Below are 27,236 nucleotides of genomic sequence, written 5' to 3' on the forward strand. Positions count from 1 at the left end.
CATAGAAAAGAAAAATCAAATGACATGTATAGTAAACAAACAATAATATTATTGTGCTTATTTCATAATTAAAATAGGAATACATAAATTTCAAATAAACATAATTATTCATGTTGGTTTAGGTGGATATATTGATGCACTTTCTGAAAGCTTGAATACTATTATTCATTATGATACTATTATTTATTTCTTCTACGGAAGGCTGTGTTATGTTAGAATTATCACAATGGATGTTTGTGGCAACTAGGCAATAAATGGAGTTTTAGTCCATGTTCAAATCCCAGGAAGCAGAATTACCCAGTAGTTATTTCCTCTGTTCTTGAGTAATAAGTAAAATGGACATTCTCAGCAATAGGCAGAATTTTCACACTGGCTCCCTGACTCATGCACTGAGTGCCATTATGTTGCATAGTACATCTTTAGCAACATTGCTTCCTTGTGTGAATTGCAGAAATTAGGTAGAGAGTGTTATGGTCTCCATGTTTTTGTTCCCCAGAATCCATATTCTGAAACTTAAACTAAGATGATACCAATGCATAAAATTTTCTGAAACTGGAAGAAAAACCAAAACCAGACACCCATGGTGTTAATTTGGGAGGCATGAAAGCTGTGAGGAGCAGAAGTTTGTAAGCTTACTATAACAGTTTTAGAAATGGCCATCAGAGAAATGCAAATCAAAACCACTATGAGATATCATCTCACACCAGTTGGAATGGCAATCATTAAAAAGTCAGGAAACAACAGGTGCTGGAGAGGATGTGGAGAAATAGGAACACTTTTACACTGTTGGTGGGACTGTAAACTAGTTCAACCATTGTGGAAGTCAGTGTGGCAATTCCTCAGGGATCTAGAGCTAGAAATACCATTTGACCCAGCCATCCCATTACTGGGTATATACCCAAATGACTATAAATCATGCTGCTATAAAGACACATGCACACGTATGTTTATTGCGGCATTATTCACAATAGCAAAGACTTGGAACCAACCCAAATGTCCAACAATGATAGACTGGATTAAGAAAATGTGGCACATATACACCATGGAATACTATGCAGCCATAAAAAATGATGAGTTCATGTCCTTTGTAGGGACATGGATGAAATTGGAAACCATCATTCTCAGTAAACTATCGCAAGAACAAAAAACCAAACACCGCATATTCTCACTCATAGGTGGGAATTGAACAATGAGATCACATGGACACAGGAAGGGGAATATCACACTCTGGGGACTGTGGTGGGGTGGGGGGAGGGGGGAGGGATAGCATTGGGAGATATACCTAATGCTAGATGACGAGTTAGTGGGTGCAGCGCACCAGCACGGCACATGTATACATATGTAACTAACCTGCACAATGTGCACATGTACCCTAAAACTTAAAGTATAATAATAAAAAAAAAAGAAATGAAATCCTTTTCCTTTATGCATTGTATTTAGGCATTTATAAGAAAAATGCAGAAAGTTAAAGCCTTAAAAAGTTGAAATTACTTGTTATGTCATTTGTTTATATTAGTCATTCTAAAGGTCACATGAACTGTGTTTTTCATACTTGTTAAGAACAAACACATTTCTAGGGCATTCTGCACTCCGTGTTCTGTCACATAAAGTACACTAGCACAGTCTAGGAAAATATCTTTCGTTTTGATAAATGGACATGTCTAAGGGGTTACACTTACATAAGCAGGTATGCTTGAAAACTGTGTCACACTTGAGAATTTGCTATTTAATGCATCCTTCTCCATGTTCCTCCATGTTGCTTATTTATTGACTTGGAAAATTTTTTAGATATGATAAATATCATTAATTATGATTCCACTAACTTATAATATTATTTTGCCCAAGGAAGTTGGCCTTTTCTTCATCTGTCAGTTCTTCTTTCTTTCCTATTTCTTTATTTTCTCATTTCATTCCCTATTGGTTCTTCCCTCCCATTGCCTTCTTTTCCCTCTCTTGCTTCCATGCTTTACTGCACTTTTTCAGGAATAGTACATAATTTTTCCAAAATATTTCAAATTCTTTTATAATTGTAATTATTGATAGTATTCTAGATCATTTACATGACAGTTAATTTCATCAATCTTTTCAAAATTAAAAGTAAAATATAATGAATATGTAGTTTGCCAAGATTAAATTATTATTACACTAACATTAAATATTCTTAAACAATTAACTCTTTTAATTGGAAAAAATTATTTATAAACTGCTTTATTCTGTTGCAAGTAATGCGCTTTTTCTAGATTCTAAAATATTGCACTTTTAACTCTTCAATTACAACAGTAATTGTAAATTCCTTCAAGATAACTTTTATCAGGATGTCTAATGCTGAGATAATTTTGCAGATCATCAGAACATTGCAAAAATGTCATTAATAAGTTAGCCAGATCTTTCGACAAATGTATTGAATAGAAGCCTAATAAAAAACATTACTCAATACAGTTATTGAGAGATGCTGGCTAACTTACTTTTTAAAAAGTTAGAGGTAGATTTTTAAAAAGTTGACTAATTAATATAACTGTAACTCAGTATTAAACTAATTGTTTCTTCTATTCAAGTATGTTTCTTGAAAAGGGCTTATCTCTTTGTGTTCATTGAATTTCTTTTCTTTCTATGCACTGACTTATTGTTCCGTGCCAGGTACTATTTTAAATACTTACAAGCATTACATCATTAAATAATCCTACTATGTGTGGGATAATTTAATACAGTACTTTTACAGATTAGGAAACTAAGGATTATGTAGCTACTGTATCTTATCTGAGTAAGTGACAGCTAGTAAGGATAGAGCTGGTATATGAGACTAAGTCTAACTCTAAGCGTATTTTCCCAACTCCAGTTTTGTATTTTGACAACAATGTGTGAAAATAGAACATAATTTTAAAATATTTAATTAATTTTAGTATTTTCTTTTTGATATTTTATTAATAGGTGTGTATATTTGCATTTATATGCATACACAAACAAATATACACATTTATATAAATATATATGTATATCTACATAGACACATAAATAAGTTATTCTGAAGTGTTGAGTAACAAAAGGAAAAAACTCAGGTAATTTTATTTAATGTGCAGACTTCAGCTTGCTGTTAGCAGTGATTTTTGTAAAGTATTAAATTATAATTCATTCAGCTTGAATTATTTGAATAATGATAGAGTTGCTGAAGGAAAGTCTGTTGCATTTCCTAATGCTTACAAGAAAATGTAGTATATTGCCATGCACTTGTCTTATTTCACATTATTTACTAATTTGTAACCAAGCAGCGATTTATCAATTAAATCATTTTTCATCATTAGGATTTTGTAAATGCATGTTTTCTATTGCAAGATATACTTTTATCAAGAGTATTTATGTCTAGAAGTTATATGAGAAGAGTTCTGAAAAATTCAATCAATTGTATTGTCAGCATGGAGAATATTGACTGAAACAATCATTCAGTTTAACTGTGGAATGATTTGTTCTTCATATACTTAATAATATTAGCAAGGCTAGAAACTAGCATTTATGAAATGCTTTCTGTTTTGCAGGCACTATTCTCAGAGTTTTTCCTTAAACAAACTAATGTAAATAAAAATAATTAGCTCAGTCTTATTAGTAAGTACAGTGATATTATTTTCTATTTTACATAGAAATTAGTAAAGAAAATGAGTCTCACAGCCAGAAAATGAGAGTAATTGTCTATTCACATGTATAGACTAAACCAAAATCAATCCGTTACTAATAGTTCAAAAAGAAATCTATTTTCATGATAATATTTCAATTTCATTTATTTCACTTATCTATTTAATATTTAAATATTATGTGCCAGACACTAGGACACTCACTGTTAAAGACACAACATTAATCAAAATAGTACAAAACATTTTCTCACATAAACTTAATATCCTAAAGTTAGAAATAGACACTAAACTATCTGTGTATATATATATATATATTATATATATATAATATATATATATATACACAAATAGAATATATCTATGTCAGACAGTGATAAATGCCATGAAGAAACCAATGTTGAGTAAAAATATAGAAAAATACATTTGGAGGCTGTCTTTTAAAAAGGAGGTCTGGAAAGGTAACGAGGTATTCTCTAACAAGGTGACATGGGAGGAGATAACTGAAGGAGGTGAGAGGGGGCCATGAATCCATCTAGAGCATAAACAATCCAAACAGGAGAAAACTCATGTAATCCTGATGTATGCTCATGTTTGACATGTTTGAAGAATAGCAAGGGGGCCTGTAAAGCAGGATCTGGTAGAAGACTAAGTCAGGATGCAGGCAGTGGCCAGATTATGTTTCTATGTAAACCATCAAATCAACAGGCTATTAAAAGACTTTCATTTTTACCCAGAGTGATATGTAAGGCACAGGAACATTTTGATGATATGAATGTTTAAAATTGCCTTTTATTTTAAGTGAAATACTCTTACTGTTTTGTGTCAAATGGAGTCTAGAGTAGTCAGGGGGTAAACAGGGAATATTAAGTTAGTCTATCATAATAGTCCAGGCAAGCAATAATGGTGGGCTTGGACCAGAGTAATGTTAGTGGGAGTAGTTAAGTTATACAGATTTGGCTATGCTTTGATGATAGACCCAAGAAGATTTGCTGATATGTGGATGTAAAAGTTAGACAGAATTTAGGTATGACTCTACAGTCATAGGCCTGAGCAGAAGAGTGAATGGAGAAGCCATTTATTCAGATGAGAAAGATTGTAGTAGAATCAAGTTTAGAAGAGAAAATTATTTAGTTTAGGTCATGTTCAGTTATAAGTACCTATTAAATATCTATGTACATATTTCAAATAGGCAGTCAGATATATGAATCAGAATTTGAACTGCAGGTAGACTTTCGTGTCATCAATAGGTTGTACTGTATTTAAAACCAGAAAATATGGTGAGATCCATTGTAATTGAGTGTAGATATGAAACGAAAAAAAAAAAGAGGCTCAAGAAATGAGAGCTGGGTCACCATCTTACCCTTTAGAGAAAGAGAAGATGAGCAGGAAGGAATCCACAACAGACTATGAAGGAGTTTCCAGCAAGGTAGAAGGAGAATCAAAAAGAGAATGGTGTACTTTTGACAAAAATTACAAAAGTGTTTTAAAGAAGAGGAAACGGTATGCTGACACAATTTTAAAATTGCTGAAAAGTGCCCATTGGATTTAGCTATATGGAGATCTTGGTGACTAACAAGAGGAGTTCAGCAGAGAGGTAGAATTCAGTGGGATGAAATCAATGTGTAGACAGCAAGTTTAGGCAATTGTTTTATTGTTTAAAAACTTTACCAAGGTATATTTTCTTCATCATAAAGTAGACAGTACTTGTGAGTGTTGATGTAAATGGGAATATTGCTGTAAATTGGAGAAGCAGCTGGACTATAATATAAGGTGAAGGGAGGTGGGTTTCTAAATTTTAATTAGTTAATTAATTTGTTTTTAAGATGGGAGAGATTTCAGTACGAATATGATGATGGGAACCACCCAAGACATTTATACAGAAGGGAGAAACATGCAAAGAGCAAAACTCAAAAGTGTGTGAAGTAGAGGAGATAGTATACAGGGCAGAAGTTGAGAGGTTAGCTTTATCTAAGAGGAAAGACAATGTACCTTCTTATGATAGGAAGGAAGGTAGCATATGTAGGTAGAGATGCAGGTTGGTGGGTATAGTTGGTGGTGGAGGTTTTTGTAAAGCCTCTACTGATTGGTTTCATTTTCTCAGTGAAGCTTAAAGCAAGGTCATCAACTAAAAGTGTAAGTGTCTGTGTGTTGATGGGGTAGGGTCTCTGGAAGTCTGACTAGAGAGAAGACAATATGAAATAGCCCTTGAGAGAATGAACCAGTTAAGAAAATGACGGCTACATAGTACCAAGTTTCCATCTGAAATTGGAGGTCATGCACTTAAAATAACGTTAATCAGCACAGTTGGACTTTTTCTCCTATCACAATTAGAGATATAGGAGTATGTTCAAGTAGGAACTGAATTAGATTTGACCAGGTGTTAATCTAGGTGTGACTTTGCCCAAGAAGTGGGCAGGGAGGAGGACAGAAACTGAGAACATTACAGTAAGTGAAAAAAGTCAGCCACAGAAAGACAAATACTGCATGATCTGGTTGATGTGGAAATTTAAGAAGTCAGTCTCATAAAAGCAGAGTGGAATGGTGGTTACCAGAGGCTGGGGATGTTGGGGAGATGTTGGTCAAAAGATACAAAATTACAATCAGACAGGAGGATTAAATTCACAATATGTATTGTACAGCATGGTGACTATAGTTAACGAGGATATATTGTATTATTGAAAAATTCTAAGTGGATGTTAACTGTTCTCACTGCAAAAGTGATAACTATGTGAGGTCATGCATATTTTAATTAGCTCAGTTTAACTATTCTGCAATGTGTATATACCTCAAAACATCACAATAAACACAAACAATATTATCTATTTAAAATAAAAATAAATAAATAAATTTGAAAATAAAAAAACTGATAATGCCTCCTAAGGAGGGATTATAATGATGCTCCATGGAATATAAACTGAGTAAAACGACACTGAGATCCTGAAGCAGGGGAGGACCAATGAAAAGCTTAGAGTCAATAACTTAGAGATCCTGATGCCATCAAAATATTTCATACAGGCCTTTCATAAATAGGAAAAAGGTGACTTGTTGGCTTTTAGTTCAACCTTAAAAAATACGTCTTCCAGTTACCTGCAGAATTTCATTTTCTTAATGTCTGTGAATCAATTGATTTCAGTGATTCTAACTAAATCGTGATTTTTGTCTGAGGCGTAAGTCCTATTTCTATGTGATTTTTTGCTGAATAGGGCTACTTGGATTGCATATGAGGAATCAGTAGTTTTTATATCTTTCAAAAATAAGCATGCTTTTGAAAGCAGTAGGGTAACATGGAACCTATGGTAATTATTTGCAATAGTGTTGAGTAGCACATTCAGAATTTATGCAGCAGAAACTTTTAGCTTGAATGAATTAAAGCTTTTGGATTTGAAAACCTATCTGTTTCTTAATATAATCAGATATGTGACTCTCTGTAAACTTTCTTTGCTTTCAAAGGCAAACATAACTAATAATTTCTGTAAAGGTCTTGAATCGTTCCAACATCTGTTCTTGGTTTACTATAAAAACCATGTCTCTGATCTCATGTGTTGAACTACTGTATGTTTGCCACTGTCTATTTCCTGTGAAAAAATACATCGAACAATAATAGCTTTTGTTCCTAACGTTCCAACCACTAAAACAGCTGAACAAATAACATCCATGCTTTCATTTGGAATAATTTATTCCATGTACATGTTTATGCAGAGTCATTTGGCTTATTGGACGTTTCATCATTTAAAAATCAAATCTCAGAATTTTAGACTACTGAAAACTCTGGTCTAATAGTTTCCTCATGTTTATAGTAATTCTCTTAACAGGATTTCCTTCCTAATTCATCATCTTATTTTGTGTAGGGTTTGGTATATGAGTAAAAGTGGTTAAAATTCCCTGCATTAACAAAGTTAGTGAAAATTTCCATTCGAGGCTACACATTTTGCGAATAACATTAAAAGATTAAATAATTTGGCATTTGAGCCATAAAAAGTAACTATTTCTGCTCTTTTGTTGCCTAAAGAAATAATAACTAAACAGTACTAATGATACAAATTATAATACATTTGTCTTAACACACTCCAGATGACTTAATGATGGGGCAGCAACACAGAGCAAGCCTCACTTCCATTCCACAAAAATCTTAGTACACAAACTTTACTAGCCCAGACATGGAAGAAGTTTTGCACTGATTAAATAAGACAGATAAAAAAATACTCATTAAAAGTTAGAAAAATAAGTTATTTAAAAGTCAATTTTAAATCATTTGCAGTGCCATCAGTTTGGAATTTTTTAATATACTTTTTTTTTGTTTCTAAAAATTTGGAATGATAATTTAGAATCCATTTACCACAACATCCACTGAAAGCCAAAAATTTGCAGTGGGTCATTCAGCTATACAGTTGATTCAGTGTTTAATAACAGACTACCTAGAAGGCTCGGGATACCTAATGTTTTCAATTTACATTCACATATTATAATCTATGAATAAAATGAGTTTAAGTTTTAAGGTTTGAGTTTTAAGGTTTAAGGTTTTAAGGTTTGAGTTTGAAATACCAGCATTTGAGAGGTTAACATTTCATCAGAATTCCACTGCCTTAAAGGAATAACTACTTTCTTGTTTGCACTGTGTTCTAGTTCAGGAAATAAAGAAATTATGACTGTATTAGTTTGCTAGAGTTGCCATAACCAAGTACCACACACTAGGTGGCTTAGGACAATAGAAATGTATTATGTACAGTTTTAGAGGCCAGTGTCAGCCAGTTCACACTCCCCCTGGAGGTAACTATGGCAGGATCTCTCCTGGCTTCTGGTAGTTCCTTGGCTTCTGACAGCAAAACTTCCATCTTCGCATGGCATTCTCCCTGTGTACGTGTCTCTATTTTGAAAATTTCTCTTTTTTATAAGTACACAATTTACATTGGATTAGGGTTCATTCTAATGACTTTATTTTAACTCCATTGCCTTTGTAAAGGCCTTATCGCCAAATAAGATAAAATTCTGAGGTACTAGGGATTAGGGCTTCAGTGTTTCTTTTTCTGGGGACAGAATTTAGCCCACAACAATGGTATTTGTCATAGGTATGGCATACGTATGCTTTGCAACTGAAGCATTCTCAACAATTTTTACGTTTTTAAAATTATATATATATATAATAATTGGTAATACTTAAATAGTTTAGTCAGTCATTTATAAACATATTATTCACAATTATGTCTTAGAGAATATGATAACTTAGTAACTACTTCCCAAATCCAAATTTACTTAGCTTTGGGACTCTCACTAGATCTCATTCTCCCCACATTTCAGGGAAGTGGATGACTGCTTCTTGCAGCTCACCATGAATCTCTGCTTGAGTCGAGCTGATATCAGCGTCACATCAAAAGCTCTTGTAGCTACACACATGCAATTTCTGATGGCTTCTCTGGTAATTTGTGGTTAATTTCTTATTTTATGTATGACTTGTCAGAAGGCCAAATAAGAAAGGATTGCAAATATTCTACACAGTTTCATAATATTGCATGCTTTCTTCCCACTCTTTTTTCTACAATAAAAATTTGATTTTACATGTTCATTACTAATTCATTGAAAAATAATCTTTCACACAAAGGAGGATTAATTCATAGATTATATTCCATTAATTTAAAAATACTTGCTGTGTTTAGTTATTACTAATTATTGACTTCATTTAGATGCAGCTTCCTGTTAAACAATGACTTCTTTCATGTTTCTTTTTAAGAACAAATATTTGAAAAAAATAAAAATGTTACCAGCTTTATTGAGGTGCAGTTGACAAATAACTTTACAAATAAACATTGTATATATACAAATAAACATTGTATATATTTACAACGTACAAAGATGTTTTTATAAGATTATACATTGTAAAATAATGATGTTTTATAAGCTTATACAATTTTTATAAGCTTATACATTGTAAAATAATGATAATGATAATGACCACAACCAAGATAATTAACATATTTGCCACCTCAAAAAGTTGCCTTTTTTGAGGTGAAAATATTTAATATCTACTCAGTTAACAAATTTCAAGAGTATGGTGTAATATTATTAACTAGAGTCGCCATAGTGTATATCAGTCTTCAGAACTTATTCATCTTGCATAACTGAATCTTTTTGACCAGCGTTTATTCATTTCCCTTACCCCTCAGTCCCTGGCAATACCATTCTATTATATACTTCCCTGAGTTTGACTTTGTAAGATTCCACATGTTAAGTGAGAACATGCAACATTTGTCTTTTTGTGCCTGACTTATCTCACCTAACATAATGTCCTCCAGTCACATCTATGTTGCTGCAAATGACAGGATCTTATTCTTATGGCTGAATAGTATTCTATTGTGTATATATGCCACATTTTCTTTTTCTTTTTCATCTATCAATGGACACAGATCTTGGCTATTGTGAATAATGCTGCAATGAGATGGGATTTCAGGTATCGCTTTGAAATACTGATTTTAATTTTTTTGGATATATATACCCAGAAGGGGGATTGCAATTCAACATCAGTTTTTGGTAAGTATTCTCAACAAACTAGGCATAGAAGGAATGGACCTCAACTTAATAAAGGCCATAAATGACAAGCCCCAAACTAACATTATACTTAATAGTGACAAGCTGAAATATTTTCTTCTAAGTTCCAGAACAGGATGAGAATGTCCACTTTCACTTCGTCTATTCAACATACTACTGGAAATGCTAGCCAGAGCAATTAGACAAGAGAAGAAATGAAAGCCCTCCAAATCAAAAAGGAAAAAGTCAAATTGTATCCACAGATATACAAAATATTATATATAGAAAACCCTAGAAACTCCATCCAAAAATTATTAGAACTAATAAACATATTCAGTACAGTTTCATGATACAAAATCAACATATAAAAACTCATTTTATTTCTATCTGCCAACAAACTACCCAAAAAAGAAATTAAGAAAACAATCCCATATATAGTACCCTCAAAAAATAGAATCTTTATGAATAAGTTTAAATAAGGAGATGAAACATCTGTGCAGTGAAAACTATAAAACAGAGGTGAAAGAAATTGAAGAAGACTCAAATAAATGAAAAGACAATCTGTTCATAGATTGGAAAAATTAATATGGTTAACATGTCCGTACTAGCCAAAGTGATTTACAGAGTCAATGAAATCCTGATCAAAATTTCATGCACATTTTTTAAGAAATAGAAAAACAATGTTAAAATTCATAGAAAACCACAAAAGATTGCAACTAGCCAAAACAATCATGAGCAAAAAGAACAAAACTGGGTGGATAAAACACAACAAAATAAAACATAATAAAGACACTATAGTCATCTACCAGGGATGTTGGATTATTTCATATGTAAGACAATTTGATTTTAAACTTTTCCAATGCATTCTGATATTTTTCCTTTTCAGGTTATTTATTTCTGTTTTATTGTAGTCTGTACATTAAAGATATTTCACAAATCACTAATGTATAACTTCTCATAGTTTGAAAGCCTCTGAGAATCTGGGATTTGGACACACACACACACACACACACACACACACACACAAATTTATACTCCTGTACTGGAAACAGTGATGCCCACCTGGTAATCTACTGGCCAATATTGCATGTTTGCTGCTGTGTATTCTTGTTTCTGCATACCAGCTCAACATGGTTCCAGAATCATGAGATTGGAACTGTTCTCCTTGTGTGAAATCTCTCATCTCTGGGTATAAGATACTCTAAGGCATAATAGGAGCCTATGGTGAAAAAAGATAAATTTAGCTTCTTTATTTTGCTCTCCTATCTGTACTTTATTTATTCACTCAATAAGTATTCATTGGGCACCTAGTACATGCAGGGTGTTATGGTAGGCACTGGAATTTGATGAGTAAATTAATGCAGGCATGGGCTGTGTCATTACTAAGATTAAAATCTAGTGATTGACAATATATAATCACGCAAAAAATGTAAAATTGCAACATTTTATGACATGTTTGAGAGAGATTCTTTTGCTTCTTAACATCCTTTTCCTACTACTTTCTCCTCCTCTTTCTTTTCTTCCCCTACTAAATATTGTGAATGAAACAATCTTCAGCAGATAAATCTAGGAAAGTCACCACAAGTGTCTCTCCAGAGAAAAATAATGTGGTGCCACTATACACACACAAATAGCATATTACATTGTATTTTTGGAGAGAAAAAGACAGAAAAGTAGAAAGGAAGAAAGGAAAGAAGAAAGAAAAAATAGCACCTGTCTCAATTCCTGTCACTTGATTTTCATATACAGATTTGGAATGTAGCTCATTTGAGTTTGAGGATTTCCTGAAATGTATTTTCACAAAACGTAATAGCAGTGACCAAATTGTCAGCAAATTTGATTTATTTGATACATGAATTTTCTCATTCCAGACAGACATCTTGCCTTTACTTTTCCTGAGGCAGGTAGAGCCATGTAGATTCACGGAACAAAACAGATTTGCTACTCTTGTTCTTTTCTTTGGACTGATTATTTCTTATTAAAATAGATTCTCCTTAAGTTTCAGTCAGGCTTCCAGTCAGTGATGGTTATCCTGAACAGTATTGGCAGGAGGCTCTGACTTTCATTTGGATTTTGAGCTTTAGTGTCAGGTTGAGTAAGGAGTTGATTAAATTATTTCATTTCATTTCTAAGGTACCATTTTTAAATGTCAAATCATTGTTAGATGCTAGACCTTTCATTGTATTTTAAAGTGTATTTCAACCTACTTTTAAAGAAAAAATACTCCACAAAATATTGAATCAATAGTACCTAAATGATGTACATTTATGCAGTCTCATCCACTTGTCTGAAAATGAGACCTGCATTATAGTTACATGGAATCTTCCAACCTTCTTATGATGTTAGGTTGTTAGATTACTTTTCAGTGAGTGTCATGTGTAAATCTCCAGTAATTCTGATTTTCAATGGTAACATCCTCAGAATAAAATCTTACGATGAAAAGTACATTTAGTCCTAAAGACACAGATAGTTTGTAAAAACTAAAATTTGCCAGATAATCACATTTAATATATTGCTTTCTATAGAACACCTTGCATAAATTTAAATATAGCTAAATGTAGCATTTGTGTCACATTCATGTTTTTCAAATCAGGCAACAGTTTAGTTAGATGGTTTCATCTATTTTTCTTTTTTTTATAAAATGTCTTTCAAACAATAGAAAATGCAAGACTAAGGGCTAAAGCAAGATGCTTGATCAAACATTTCTGTAAGTCATATTCAAGCACCAAATGAAAGCAGATAAAACATTATATTGAACTATATTAAATAATATTATATGATATCAAATCATGTAGCAGTACTCTTCCTAGTATTAAACTTGTGTGGCTATAGTTAGGATAGGGTAAGGTTTTAGGGCTAAAATCTTGGGCTTTTTGGCTAACAAGACTTTGTTCTCTGAGAACAGTTACATGCCCTTGGGTAAATTATTTCACTTCTCTAAACCTAAACTTCTTCAATTATAAAATGTACACAAAATTACAAAAAAAATTGCATTGCAATAATGAAAGTGGCATTAAATTAACTAATTTGCTTAGCATGTTTGCATAGTACCTGGTAAACAACAATAGTAATAATTATATTTCCACATTTTCTCTACATTGCCCGTGATTCATTTCTCAGTGTTACCCAAATATGAAGGGCCAGGTAAAGAATCATAGGCAGTACTAATTATCACTGTCCATCTGCAAAGTTCTGTTGTTTGTGAAAATAGAGATTTTTCTTTCTTTTCCCTTGTGCTTGTACCCAAAGGGTTCTAAAAATCTAATATGCCTCTTATTCCTGTAGCCATGTTCATGTCCCCAGTGCCAGTGCTATCCGGTGCCCTCCAGGAATGATGTATTGCTCAAAGTTATATTTCAGCAAGTTTTTATAACATTTCTTCTGACTGCCCTGCTTCTTGTGACTTTAGCTTGCTATCCAGAATCTTATTAGATATTCTTCTATCATCAATTTCTTCATAAGTCTAGCTCAGTGGATCTATTTTATATCAAGTAATGTTTAAACACTACTGGACTGATTGTATTACAGGATTCATTAATCTTGTCGGTTGATATTAACAAATGCCTCTAGAGTATTATTTTCTATTTGGCAGGATTTTTTTCCTGAAAGGGTTAGCTTCATTCTGGATTTGGATATCTACAGAGACTAGCCACTGATGGTGAAATACATCTTTAGATCCTAAAGATATTGGTTCATTGGACTTTATGTTGAAATTCTTTAAAAATCTGAGTGATATTCCTGGTAAATTCAACATTTAGCATTGAGAATTCATTGGTGCTATCTTTAAAAATTATTAGTTTGCAATAGAGAAAAGAGAAATCACTGACCTTTTGTCTCCATCCTCAAGTTCATATATTGAAGCCCTAACCCTGAATGTGACTATATTTGGAGAAAGGACTTATAAGAAACAGTTAAGATTAAATGAACTCATACAGGTGAGATCCAAATCTGATAGGATTTGTGGACTTGTAAGAAGAGAAAGAGAGTAAGATTTTTACTACCACTCTTTGCCATGTGAAGACACACTGTGAAGGCTGTCATCTGCAAATTAGGAAGAGCACCCTCATCAAAAACTAAACCCTCTGGTATCTTAATTGTGGACTTTCCAGCCACTAGAAAATAAAATTCTGTTGTTTAAGTCAACCAATTTTTGGTATTATTTTTTATGGCAAACCAAGCCGACTAATTCACCTCTCATCACATTTTCTTGCCTCCAAGGAACTTGCTTGTCTACTTTTTAAGCAAAGTATAGATATTTTTTATTTTTGTTGGTACATAGGTGGTGTATACACTTATGGGGTACATGACATGTTTTGATACAAGTATGCAATGCTTAATAATTACATAATGGAAAATGGGGTATCCATCACCCCGAGCATTCACCCTTTGTTTTATAAACAATCCAGTTATGCTCCTTTAGTTATTTTAAAATGTAAATTAAATTATTCTAGGCTATAATCACCATATTGTGCTTGTCCTCTTGATTTCTTTGTCCAACGGTGTTTCAGTCAAGGATTTTCTGCTTAGTTGCATAACTGGTTGACAGGATATACTCTTTTACTTAAAAAAAAGTCAAATAGTCAAAGTTTTTATTATACATATACAAAATTTTATACATAAATAAAATATATTCTTTTTGAACATTATGCTGGGGATTACAATAATCTCAATGTATACAATTATAAACTGTTTAGGACAAAGTAAACTGTCTAAAATTATAGAAAAGAGAGGCAAAATAAACGTTTTTAAATTATAGAAATGAATAATGTAGTTGAACTTCTGCAGAAATACAATGCATAATTTCACAACTCATTTTAAGTTTTTTTCATTAAAATGTATTCATTATTAAAATTACAAACAAAATTGTATGTATTATTATAACATGCTGTCTTATAATACATATATTGTGGAATGGTTAATGTAGCTAATTAATGAATGTATTACCTCACATAGTTATCATTTTTGTGGTGAGAACACTTAACGTCCATTCTCTCAGTTTTTTTTTTTTTTTTTTTTTTTTTTTGAGACAGACTCTCGCTGTGTCTCCCAGGCTGGAGTGCAGTGGTGCGATCTTGGCTCACTGCAAGCTCAGCCTCCCTCCCGGGTTCACGCCATTCTCCTGCCTCAGCCTCCTGAGTAGCTGGGACTACAGGTGCCCTCCACCACGCCTGGCTAATTTTTTCTATTTCTAGTAGAGATGGGGTTTCACCGTGTTAGTCAAGATGGTCTCAATCTCTTGACCTCGTGATCTGCCCACCTCAGCCTCCCAAAGTGCTGGGATTACAGGCGTGAGCCACCGTGCCTGGCCTCCCTTAGCAATTTTTTAGAACACAATGTATTAGTCATTAACTGTAGTCACTAGGCTGTACAACAGGTCCCCCGAATTTACGCCTCCTATCTAACGTTTGACCAACATCTCCTCAATTCCTTCTCTCCCCAGTTACTCCAGCCTCTGGTAATCAACTTTCTAGTCTTTACTTCTAGGAGAAGTAGATATAAAATCTCATTTTGATATTTTCATTTCAACAAAACCTAAACATTTAAAAAATATTTTACTCAAAAAGTTTATTGCAACATTATTTTTAGTGATGAAAAATTAAAACCAAACAAGGTAATGCATGTGCATCAATAAAAATTGGAGAAAATTGTAGAAAAAGAAAATAAGGTTATGTTGTTAGATTATAGATGCTTTGATTGTTCTCTGTTTTACTTCGTATTATCCAAATGTTTTTTCAATAAATTTTATGTATGTATAAAGTGTGTGTATGTGTACGTATGTGTGCATAAGTATTCTTGCATCTTTTCTTGAAAAATAAATACTCATTGCTTAAATAAATTCAAAAGTGCCATCATTTATACATATGTAACTAAAATGTAGTTCTAAAAATAAGCTCTGATATTTAAATGTTTATCTTTGTGAAGTTTTATTTTAAAATAGCAGGCATCTCAGAAAATAGTGAAGGTTAGAAACGACCAAAATGATTAAGAAACTTTAAATTTATTTCCATGCCAGAATCCAGCAAATGCATTCTCAAAGTAATGGAATACACTTGACTCTCTACATGACTGATTGCATCTTCCTCCTGTAGCTACACGATATAAACATTATGGAGACCACAATTACATAAAATGTCCAAGCAATGCACAACAATAACAAAGCCACCATTATGTCACATTTTTATAAAATCTTAAATTGTCATAATATGGATACCTATGAAATTTGAATACAAATTTAAAATTTACTAATAAAATACAGTTGTCCCTTTTTACCAGAAGATCATTACTATCAGTAATAGTAAACTAATAGTAGCAACTTTCATAAAATAATAAATAAGTTTTATTTTCATTGACTGTGATATTGAAATAAGCCTCACTGAGATCCTGCTCAAATATCGCTCATGTCACATCGGACTCATATGTATTTTTGAAGCAATTAGCAAAATTCAGAAATTGAGTGCAAGGCTTGCATTTTCACTACTTAGCATAAAAATCTTTTCATTCCTTTAATCATTTGGATGTAAACAAATCCAGCTTCATATCTCTTCTACTGAGACTCCTATAAAGCACACATCATTGCAGTAAAACTAACAGAAAAATACACATGCTTGTGCTCACTAGATATTTTCTATCTTTGAATATCAAATTAGCAGGCCATTAGCTGAGATGTTATTTTGATATTGAGATTTCTTTTATAAAACATATTTTAATGAAATATTAACAACACAGCCACAATATCCGTATGTTTACTTTGGTAAAAGTGAAAGCATAATTTGCACAAACAGCAGATTCTACCCAATGTGCAAAACCTTTCTTTAGATATAGAATGCATAAATTGAAATGAAATGATATTTGGATTAGCATTGAGGATGGGTAGCAAAAGCCTGCAAATGAGCAATAATCATGTTTCTTTTAGATGATTTTGAGGCATGGTTGTAGAACTGGAATAAAGTTAGAAAGGAAAGCCCTATTTAACTAAATCTACCTTAAACATTTTTCAAACTCAGGGCCAAATTTTGAAGTCTTTTAGAATGTCCTATACTTTTCTTAGAAAGTTAATGGAAGAATAAGTATGGAGCCTACGTTATTGAGAACTTGGTATTTGCTGATTGCTTTGTATGCATCTTCTCACTTGACACTCCTAATAAATACATGAAAGGTAAGTGTAATCCCAATCAACATACAAGGAAACTGAAGCTTTGAGGAAATACATAGAAATACATCACATATGCAAGATCACTCTGTTAATAGATTATAATGTTACAATTGGCTCTCTGTTATGCCTGATTCCAGAGACCATGCTTTGTGTGATTCTTTTTGTATACAGCAAATAATATATATCTAGGAGTCCAGACACACAAAACAGTCCAACAATAGAATAGTATGTGTGTGTCTGCGTATGTGTGCGTGTATGTGTGTGTGTGTGTGTGTGTTGGATAGCCTTTAGTTTTCTTTGATGAAGAACAGAGATATTTTAAATAAACAAAATGAAAATATCAAAATGATTTCATCATCCATGTGAGAGATATGCTTAATAGATCAACACTCTCAGTATATACTTTAGTCTTTTATTGCAAAGTTGAGATTATTGATTTTCTAATTTTATCCTTAGCAGATTCCATACTCTGTTCATACATTCCTTATGATATTTTACAACTATAAGGAGAATGAAGAGAGTGAAAGTTTTGAGGAGACACAGGTACTCTGCCATTCCTCATTAGTTATGTACGGTTGTTCTTTCCCGTCTCTTATTGCTTATGAATTGCTTCGTTGGGAATATCCCAACAAATACTTTTCCTTAGTTTTTTAATTTTTTAAAAAATTTCAACATGCTCCTTTTTCTAAAGTCCCATATCAATCTAAAATATCGCATTACTTTCCAACTTAAGTCTCTAGAAGTTTTCAAGCCAAAAGGCTCAAGAAGAAGCCTAAAATGTGAGATAGTGGGAAAATATTTAAATATAGCAGCTTATGTGGTTTACAAATTATTAAACAGGAATTTGATGGTAAGAATTCCAATTAATACAGATATCTGGGAAATAGATTTGTAGTTACCTGTACTTACTACCTACCTATTTCCCAATGAATTTTGTATAGAATAGGAATTTTTCCTTGTCCTGCCCAGGTCATATCACCTATGCAGGCATCCTGGCAGTGACTAATATCTGTATTAAGAAAATGAAAAAAAAAATTCTTGATCTTCACTCAGATCATAGAGGTATACCATTAAAAATACCCTCTTGTCTCTCAATGTCAATAATACCGCAAGGTAGAGTATGGTCATATTTTATGAAAAACATTAGAATATTCTAAAAGCTCAGACATTCTCAGGATTTAAGCCTGAATAATTATGCAAAATAACAAAATTTTCAGTAGGTTGTAAACAAGGACATATACCAAATTAAATCTATTTGGCAAATTTCTCTTACTTTTCTTAAGACTGGTACTTACTTTTCTTTATGATTATTAAAACCTCGACATTGTTAATGTTTTTTGATGATGATAGGTCTAAATTAAATGAACAAACAGATTAATCATTACTTTAAAAGTAAATTTCAATTATTTAGCAATTAAGAATAATAGTTCATTTAAAAAGCAATGCTGTAAGGAAAAACCATTTTTAAGTATGTTTTTTTCTTTCTTTTAAGAAAGATGTGCTTTGATAAATTGCATAAACATATTATGCATTATTAAACTTTAAAATTATATGCTTGACAGATTATGTGTACTTCTCTCTAGGGCTTTATTGCAATCTGTGGAACTTATTAGTTGTGATTTCATTGCCAGCGGCAAAAGGTAGTATGTTCTATAAATTAAAACATTTGGCTGTGGCCATGGGAAATTTTTTATGGTGAGCAGAGATTGGACGTGGGGGTAGGAAACAAATCTAACAGTTTTAATCCAAAAAAGAAAAAAATTCCGCGTGTGATGAATTTGTGCTTGGCGTTTGTTTATCTCAGGGATTGCACATTCTAAACAATTTGGGAATTGCAGTAATTTTAGAACTAGGGTAGATAAATTTACCAGTTAAATCACAATGTTTACAAAAGAGTATATAGAGCAGTACACCTTACTTACACCAGATGCTGGTAATCTGGACATTGGACTATCAATTAAATTGGACAATTACTTGGCCGTTTTTCATGTTGCTTCCATTTTGCCAAATCCTTCTTTTTCCAGGTTTTTTAAAATACTATTTGCCTGTTACTTTCTGTCATTATCAACATTTAGTAACTCTGTATTTTTCATCTCATATTCAAATAAATTACTTTATTGAAAACAACAAATATATTTTCCACCACTGGCCCATTCAGGGCAAGACAATATAATTTTCTGAGGTAAATACATTTTCATGTATAATGAAATAGATAGTCAATTTCATTCTTATTTTTATTATATTAATATAAAATTCTACATAGGAACACATTTCTGTGATATTAGGCTTGTATATCTAATATCGATGAACCTTACAGTTTTACATAGGAAAGAAAAGATCAGGAATAAGTGATTGCAGATAAATTATTATCAATGCATAAATAACGAAGGCATTTTCAAAGGAACAACTGATAACTAATTAGTTAAACTTGCCAAATAATTACCAAATAATCACAGCTCTCATCAGCAGCTGTTAAAAACTGATAAAATTTGATTCAATACAGTATGTATAAATTTACACTTGGCTGAAACATCTGCAAACTGTGGCAAACACTTTTTTTGTGCATAGGGCTAGAGGCATTTTTGCAGTCATTTTCAAACTATGTTGAAGCCAGTATTCCCTTTCCCTTTACAACCTGCAAACTTGTCCTTTCTGTTCTCCCTGCTCCTTTTTGTCTTTGTGTTCTCCTCTTTTTGTTTCCTTACTGTTTTAATCTCTTCTTTATTAAAATTTCAAACATAGCACATATGATTCATTTTACTCTGCCATTGCGCTCTGAACCTAAAGCATTTAAAACTTTGCATGTGTTTTTGTAACTAAAGAATTATATATGTACACTTATTTCATTATTCAAATTCTACATTAAATATACATAATACATATCTTTGATGAAATAAAAGACAATAGATTGATTTCAGATTATTTACTTTTCAGACTAAAAAATTGTACGTACTTGTTGATTTGCTTGTTTTCTGTAGAGTTAGTCCTCCTGCAGTTATTTCCTCTATGATCATCTTCTGAGCTAAAACCATAAATATCTATTGCCTAGCCTGAATTTACCTGCCAGAAACTCTTTTTAAATCTTAGTGTTTTATACATGGGAAAATGCACACAGCTACAAACCTACACCTTTTGTATATACAATACAGGTAAAAACAAAGACAAAAGTAACTCAGGTAATTGTGTTATTAAATTTGGTTCAGGCATTGGACTATGTTGTTTGAAATGTAGGAGTAAGCATGATAAAAATTCTTAACTTCTGTCATATCTTGCTGTTCTTTAAAGAGCTTGAAGATATGTTTACCTCATAACACTGGAAAAATAAAGACAGTAATTAGATCTATATTTATTTCACCAATATATTACCAGCTCCAAGTCATGTTCATTGCACAAAGCTTTTGTGACATACATCTCTGATATAAAATAATTGTATTTGTTTTGTCAGAACATTTGGTACTTTCCTGGAATCAATAAATTCCCAATAAATTTATAGTAATAAAATAATGAAGTAAATAAATGAGAAACAAGGGATACCATATAATATGTGTGCAGAAGACATAATGGGACGAGAGAGCAATTTCATAGTTTCTCCCAATTGGTTATTCCATTAAACACTTCATTTTTTGCATTGGAAATGGCCTTAAAACTCATCAATTCTAACTTCCCAATATTACAGACCAGACAAGTAAACTTCAGAAAGGTTGAGTGATGTTTCTATTTAACCAGTTGTCTACAATCTGTCCAAACAGTTACAAAGCCAATTGTGAGGGCTATGCCAAGGAAGATTTCCTGAAAACTAGGTCAGTGGTCTTTCCCCTGCAACACGCTTCTGTCAGCCCAAGTATATATGGAAGGACCATAGTAGAGTAAAATACACAATGACTCAGGATTCACAAGACCTGTGACTACAGACCACCCTGGTCACTTACTGGCAAGTAACTTAGTTCTTCAAAGCTTCACCTTCCACATGCATACGTTAAAATTACATATCTATCCTGAAATGTTAGCAGATACATTCATCAAATAATATGCTCTCTGTGAAAGGGAACAGAACTCTAGAAAATGTTTGTTTCATAAATGAATTAGATTTTAAATTTACATAGTATAAAAGTGAATTCCCAAGCCAAATTCAACTGTTTAATCATGATTTTCTATTAGAACATTTCTCATATCTAACATGCAGATATTCATTGACAAACATTTATCAAACACAATCTATATGCCAAATTCAATACAGGAGATGTGAAGTTGAAAAAGAGATTACTTTGTATTCAGAATTAATTTTACTTGGTTAGCCTGTGCTCAAAGCTCAAATGTTTTATTTAATCGACTTTCATAGTCACAGGTTGTACTCCTAGCACAGCTGATGTTTTTCAATTAGATCAAAAAGGTTACATAGAAAGAGGAGAACTTTGGGACTGAACTCAACCTTGATTATTGCCATTTGCTTAAGCACAACAGGTAATTCTTTGCCAAATTCTATTGGCTTTAAATTCCCAATAAATCAGTCTTATTTCTATTTCAATTTCTACCACCTAAGTTAAAGTACCATCATATTTCATCAAGATACTAGACAACGACCTCCTAACTATAGTAGTCTCTTTTTCAATTTCTGGCCCCTTATGCTCTACTCAGCACAAACGTAGAGTAATCTTTTGAAAAACAACATAAAGATCACGTTACATTGAAGTTTTAAAACCCTCCCATGATTACCAGTGCATTGACAGTGAATTCTGGGCTCTCTACCAATGACTTATGGGACCATAGATGGTCTGACTGCTACTTAATTTTCCAAATACACACTATACTACCTGGATTCAGCTTCACTGGCTCCCTTTCTATTGCTTGCACGAACCCAATTTTTTTTTCTACTTTAGAACTTATGAACTTGTGGTTCCCTTTGCCTGAATGCTGTTTCGCTAACTCTCTGCATGAATGACTTTGTATCTGGGCTTAATTTTTCAGCTATGGGCTTAAATTTTATCTCTTCAGAGGACACTTTCTTTACCACACTGCCTATGGGTCATTCTTTACCAATTTAACAAATATTTATGGAGTGCCTATAAACCTAGTCTTGGCCAGTTACTCTGTATAATATCACTAAGCTACTAGTTCCACTGTACTTAGAATAATTGCTACTTGTCTTATTTATATATTAATTTACGTATTTATTCTGTCACTTTAGAAGGTTTAATTTTTCAAGATGCAAAGATTTTGTTGGTTTTACTCATAGAAATGCCCCCAGAACTAAGCATAGTGTCCAGCATATTATAGGCACTAAACAAATATATTGAAGGAATAAATAATTTTATAAATATTATTTGAGAAGCATCATATGCCTGCCATTGATAGCTGCTGAGCACGTAGTTCTTGCCAACAAGACTGAGAGGCAATAAATGTGAAATAATTAGTTCATTCAAGTTTAAAAAAAATACCAAATAAGCATCAGTAGCTGTCCCATGTAGATGCTAGAAATACAGGTGTATTTCTATTTAACCAGTTGTCTACAACCTGTCCAAACAGTTCAAAGTCAATTGTGAGAGCTATGCCGAATAGCCGTCACATTCTAGCCCACCTACGTAGGACAGCTTCTGATCCTTATTTGCTTCACAATTCTGGAAATTAGAAGTCCAAATTTTTAGAGTCAGTCTGAGTCTGAAGGCCTGAGAACCAAGAGTGCTGAGGGCAAGAGAAAATTATTGTGCTAATTGGAGCAGTCAGGCAAAGAGTAAATTCAAACCCCCTTCTGCCTTTTTATTTTATTGGGCTCTGAAGAGATTGGATGATGCCCATTCACAATCAGAAAGACCATAGACTTTACTCAGTTCATCAACTCAAATGCTAATCTCTTGTAAATACCATTACAGACACATCCAGAAATAATATCTAACCAGGTATCTGAGCATCTCAAAGTTCATTCAAGTTGGTATAAAATTAGCCATCATAGTAGGTGTGAGGAGACACATAGTTGAACAGAATTTTAAAGACTTTCAATGTTATAAGCCATTTATTTGTGTCATCTTTAATTGCTTTCATCAGTTTTGTAGTTTTCTTTGTAGAGATCTCTCACCTCCTTAGATAAATGTATTCCTATGTGTGTTTTTTTGTATCCATTGTAAACAGAATTGACTTTTGATTTCTTTCTCAGCTAGCCCATAGTTGGCATATAGAAACACTACTGATTTTTGTACTTGGATTTTGTACTCTGCTAGTTTACCTAATTCATTTATTAAATTTAAGAAGTTTTGTATAATTGTTAGGTTTTTTGAGACATAAGTTCATATTATCAGAAAAGGGGAACAATTTGACTACCTCTTTTCCAATTTGGATACATTTTATATTCTTCTATTGCCTGAATTTTCTGGCCAGGACTTCCAGTACTATGCTAAATAGAAGTGGTGAAAGTGTCTTATTCCAGTTCTTAGAGGAAAAGCTTTCGACTTTTTCCCATTAAGTATGGTATTAGCTGTGGGTTTGTCATATATGGTCTTTATTTTTTTTGAGGTATGTTTATTCTATGCCTAGTTTGCTGAAGATTTTCATTATCAAAGATTTAAAACTTTATCAAGTGCTTTTTCTGTATCTATTGAGATGATAAAATGGTTTGTATCCTTTACTCTGTTGATGTAATATATCATGCTTATTGATTTGTGTATGTTGAACCGTCCTTGCATCCCTAATATAAAGTACACTTAACTGTAGTTTATTATCTTTTCGATGTGCCATTGGATTCAGTTTTCTAGTGCATTGTTTAGAATTTTGTGTCTATGTTCATCAGGGATAATGGCCTGTAATTTTCTTGTATGTGTGTGTTCTTGTTTTATTTTGGTATCGTGGTAATACTGGCTTTGTAGAATGAGTTAAGGAGAATTCTGTCCTCTTTGATTTTTTGAAATAGTTTCAAAAGGATTGGTATTAGATCTTGGTAAGTTTAGTAGAATGCAGCTGTGAATCTATCTGATCTGGGAATTTTCTTCATTGAGATTAGTTTTATTACTGATTCACTCTTGCTGCTCATTACTGGTCTATTCTGGTTTTATATTTCTTCTTGATTCAGTCTTGGTAGGTTATAGATTTCCAGAAATGTATCAATTTATCTAGGTTTTACCATTTGTAAGTTTATAGCTCTTCATAACAGTCTCTGATGATCTGTTGTATTTCTGTGGTATCAGTTGTAATGTCTCCTTTTTCATTTCTGATTTTGATTATTTGGGTCTTGATACAGTTTGGCTCTGTGTCCCCACTGAAATCTCACCTCTAATTGTAATCCCCACATGTCAAGGAAGGGACATGGTGACAGGTGATTGGATAATGACAGCAGTTTCCCCCATGCTGTTCTCATGATAGTGAGAAAGTTCTCATGAGATCTGTTGGTTTAAAAGTGGCAGTATACTCTGTGCTTTCTGTCTCTTGCTGTCATGTAGGATGTGCCTTGCTTCCCTCTCCACCATGATTGTAAGTTTCCTGAGGCCTCCCTCGTCATGTAAAACTGTGAGTCAATTAAACCTCTTTTTTTCATAAATTACCCAGTCTCAGGTAGTGTCTTTAGAGTAGCGTGAAAACAGACTAATACAGGTTTTTTTCTACTTTTCTTGGTTAGTCTACTAGGAGTTTATCAACTTTGTTTTTCTTTTTGAAGAACCAACTTTTTAATTTGTTAATCCTTTGTATTTTTTGTCATCTCTATTTCATTTAGTTATTCTCTTCTTTTTATTATTTATTTTCTTCTGATAATTTTGGGTTTGGCTGGTTTTTGCTTTTCGCTTTTCTGCTTCTTTAACGTGCATTGGTAGATAGTTGTCTGTAGTCTTTCTACATTTTTGATGCAGACATTTATTGCTAGAAACTTCCCTTTTAGTACATTTTTTTCTGTATCACACAGGTTTTCATATGTTTTGTTTCCATTTTTATTTTTTAAGATTTTTAAAATTTATATTCTAATGCCTTGTTTTTACCCAATCATTATTTAGGAGCATGCTATTTAATTTCCATATATGTGCATAATTTCCTGGTGTTTATTTCTAGTTTTATCCCAAAGTGGTCTGAGAAGATATTTGATATTATTTTGATTTTAAAAAATTTTATTGAACTTGCTTGTTTCCTAACATGTGGTCTATCCTGAAGAATGTTTCATGTCCTAATGAGAATAATTTATATTCTTCAGATGTTTCACAGATGCCTTTTAGGTCCATTTGGTCTAAAGTCCAGTTTACACCAAAAATTTCTTTGTTAGTTTTCTGTTTAGATGACCTGTCTAATGTAAAAGACCTCCCTCCATGCTTTGCAATTTCTCTTTCTCTCTAGGTCTGGTAATATTTGTTTTATGAATATGAGTGCTTCAGTGTTGGGTACATATATATTTAGGATTTTAATATCCTCTTGCTGTATTGATATTTTTACAATTATATAATGACTTTCTTTGGCTATTTTTTTCTTAACTTAAAATCTGTTTTATCAGATACAAGTATAGCTACATCTGTCTGCTTTTAGTTTCTGTTTGTGTGAAATGTCTTTCTCCATCTCTTTATTTCAGTTTCTACGTCTTTACTGATAAGCCAAGTTTCTTGGAAGCAACTTAGCTGGATTATACATTTTAAATCTATTCAGCCATTCTGTATCTTTTCATTTGGTCCATTTCATTCAAGGTCAATATGTGAGGCTTTGTTTCTGTCATATTGTTAACTTTTTTGTGGTTGTTTTATATCTTCTTTGTCCACTTCTTTTTTTCTTTGTCATTATGGTTTGGTGAATTTCTGTAGTGACACATTTGGATTTCAGGCCTCTGGGCAACTGGTGTGGTGTGGGCAATGGCTTATTCTTCATTTTTTGTATGATTGTTTTACTAGTGAGTTTTATGCTTCCATGTGTTTTCATGGAGGTAAATGTCATTCTTTTACTTCCAGGTTTAGGACTCCCTTGAGCATTGTTCGCATGGCTAGTCTAGTGGTCACAAATTTCCTGAGCATTTTCTTGTCTGAGAAAGGCTTTACTCTTTTTTCATTTATAAATGATAATTTTGGTGAATATAACAATTTTTTTCTTTCAGAACTTCAAATTCATTATGCCATTCTCTTTTGCCCTTGTAAAGTTTCTGCTGATAAATCTAATTTTAGTCTTATGGGATTTCCTTTATAATTCACTAGCACTTTTCTTTTGTTGTTTTTAGAATTCACTCTTTATTTTTGACTTTAGATAGTCTGTCTATAATATGCTGTGGAAAGAATGTTTTTTTACATTGTATCTTCCTGGGGATCACTGATCCTCATGTATATGAAGGTCTAAATATCTTCCTAGACTTGGGAGTTTTTCATTTATTATTTTGTTAAATAAGTTTTCTAATTTTTTCATTTTCTCTTTACTCTCTTAGATACCGACAATTCAAATATTTGGTCACTTTAAGTCATCCCAAATGTCATAAAAGCTTTGCTCATTCTTTTTTATTATTTCTTTCTTTCTTTTTCTCTGACTGGATTATTTCAAAAGATCTTTTGTTAAGTTCTGAGATTCTTTCTTTTGCTTTATATAGTCTATTTTTGAAGCTTTCAAATGTATTTTGTATTTCCTTCAATGAATTATTAAATTTCAAAATTTTCATTTCATTCTTATTTAAAATATCTATCTCCTTGGTAAAATTTTCATTCATATCCCGAATTGTTTTTCTGATTCTTTGCATTACTTTTCAGAATTTTTTGTACTTTGCTGAGTCTCTTTAAAATCAATATGTTGAATTCTTTATCTAGGATTTTGAAGATTTCTTTTTGATTAAGATCTATTGTTACAGAATTATTATGTTCCTTTGCAAGTGTCATATTTTTTCTTACTTTTTAATATTTCCTATGTTCTTACATTTATATCTTTACATCTGTTGTAACCATCGCTACTTATTTTGAATTTACTTTCGTAGGGGAGAATATTTTCCTGAATATGTATTTATAGTGTTG

This window comes from Homo sapiens, chromosome 8 (assembly GCF_000001405.40).
Source record: "Homo sapiens chromosome 8, GRCh38.p14 Primary Assembly".
In the NCBI taxonomy this organism is placed as follows: domain Eukaryota; kingdom Metazoa; phylum Chordata; class Mammalia; order Primates; family Hominidae; genus Homo; species Homo sapiens.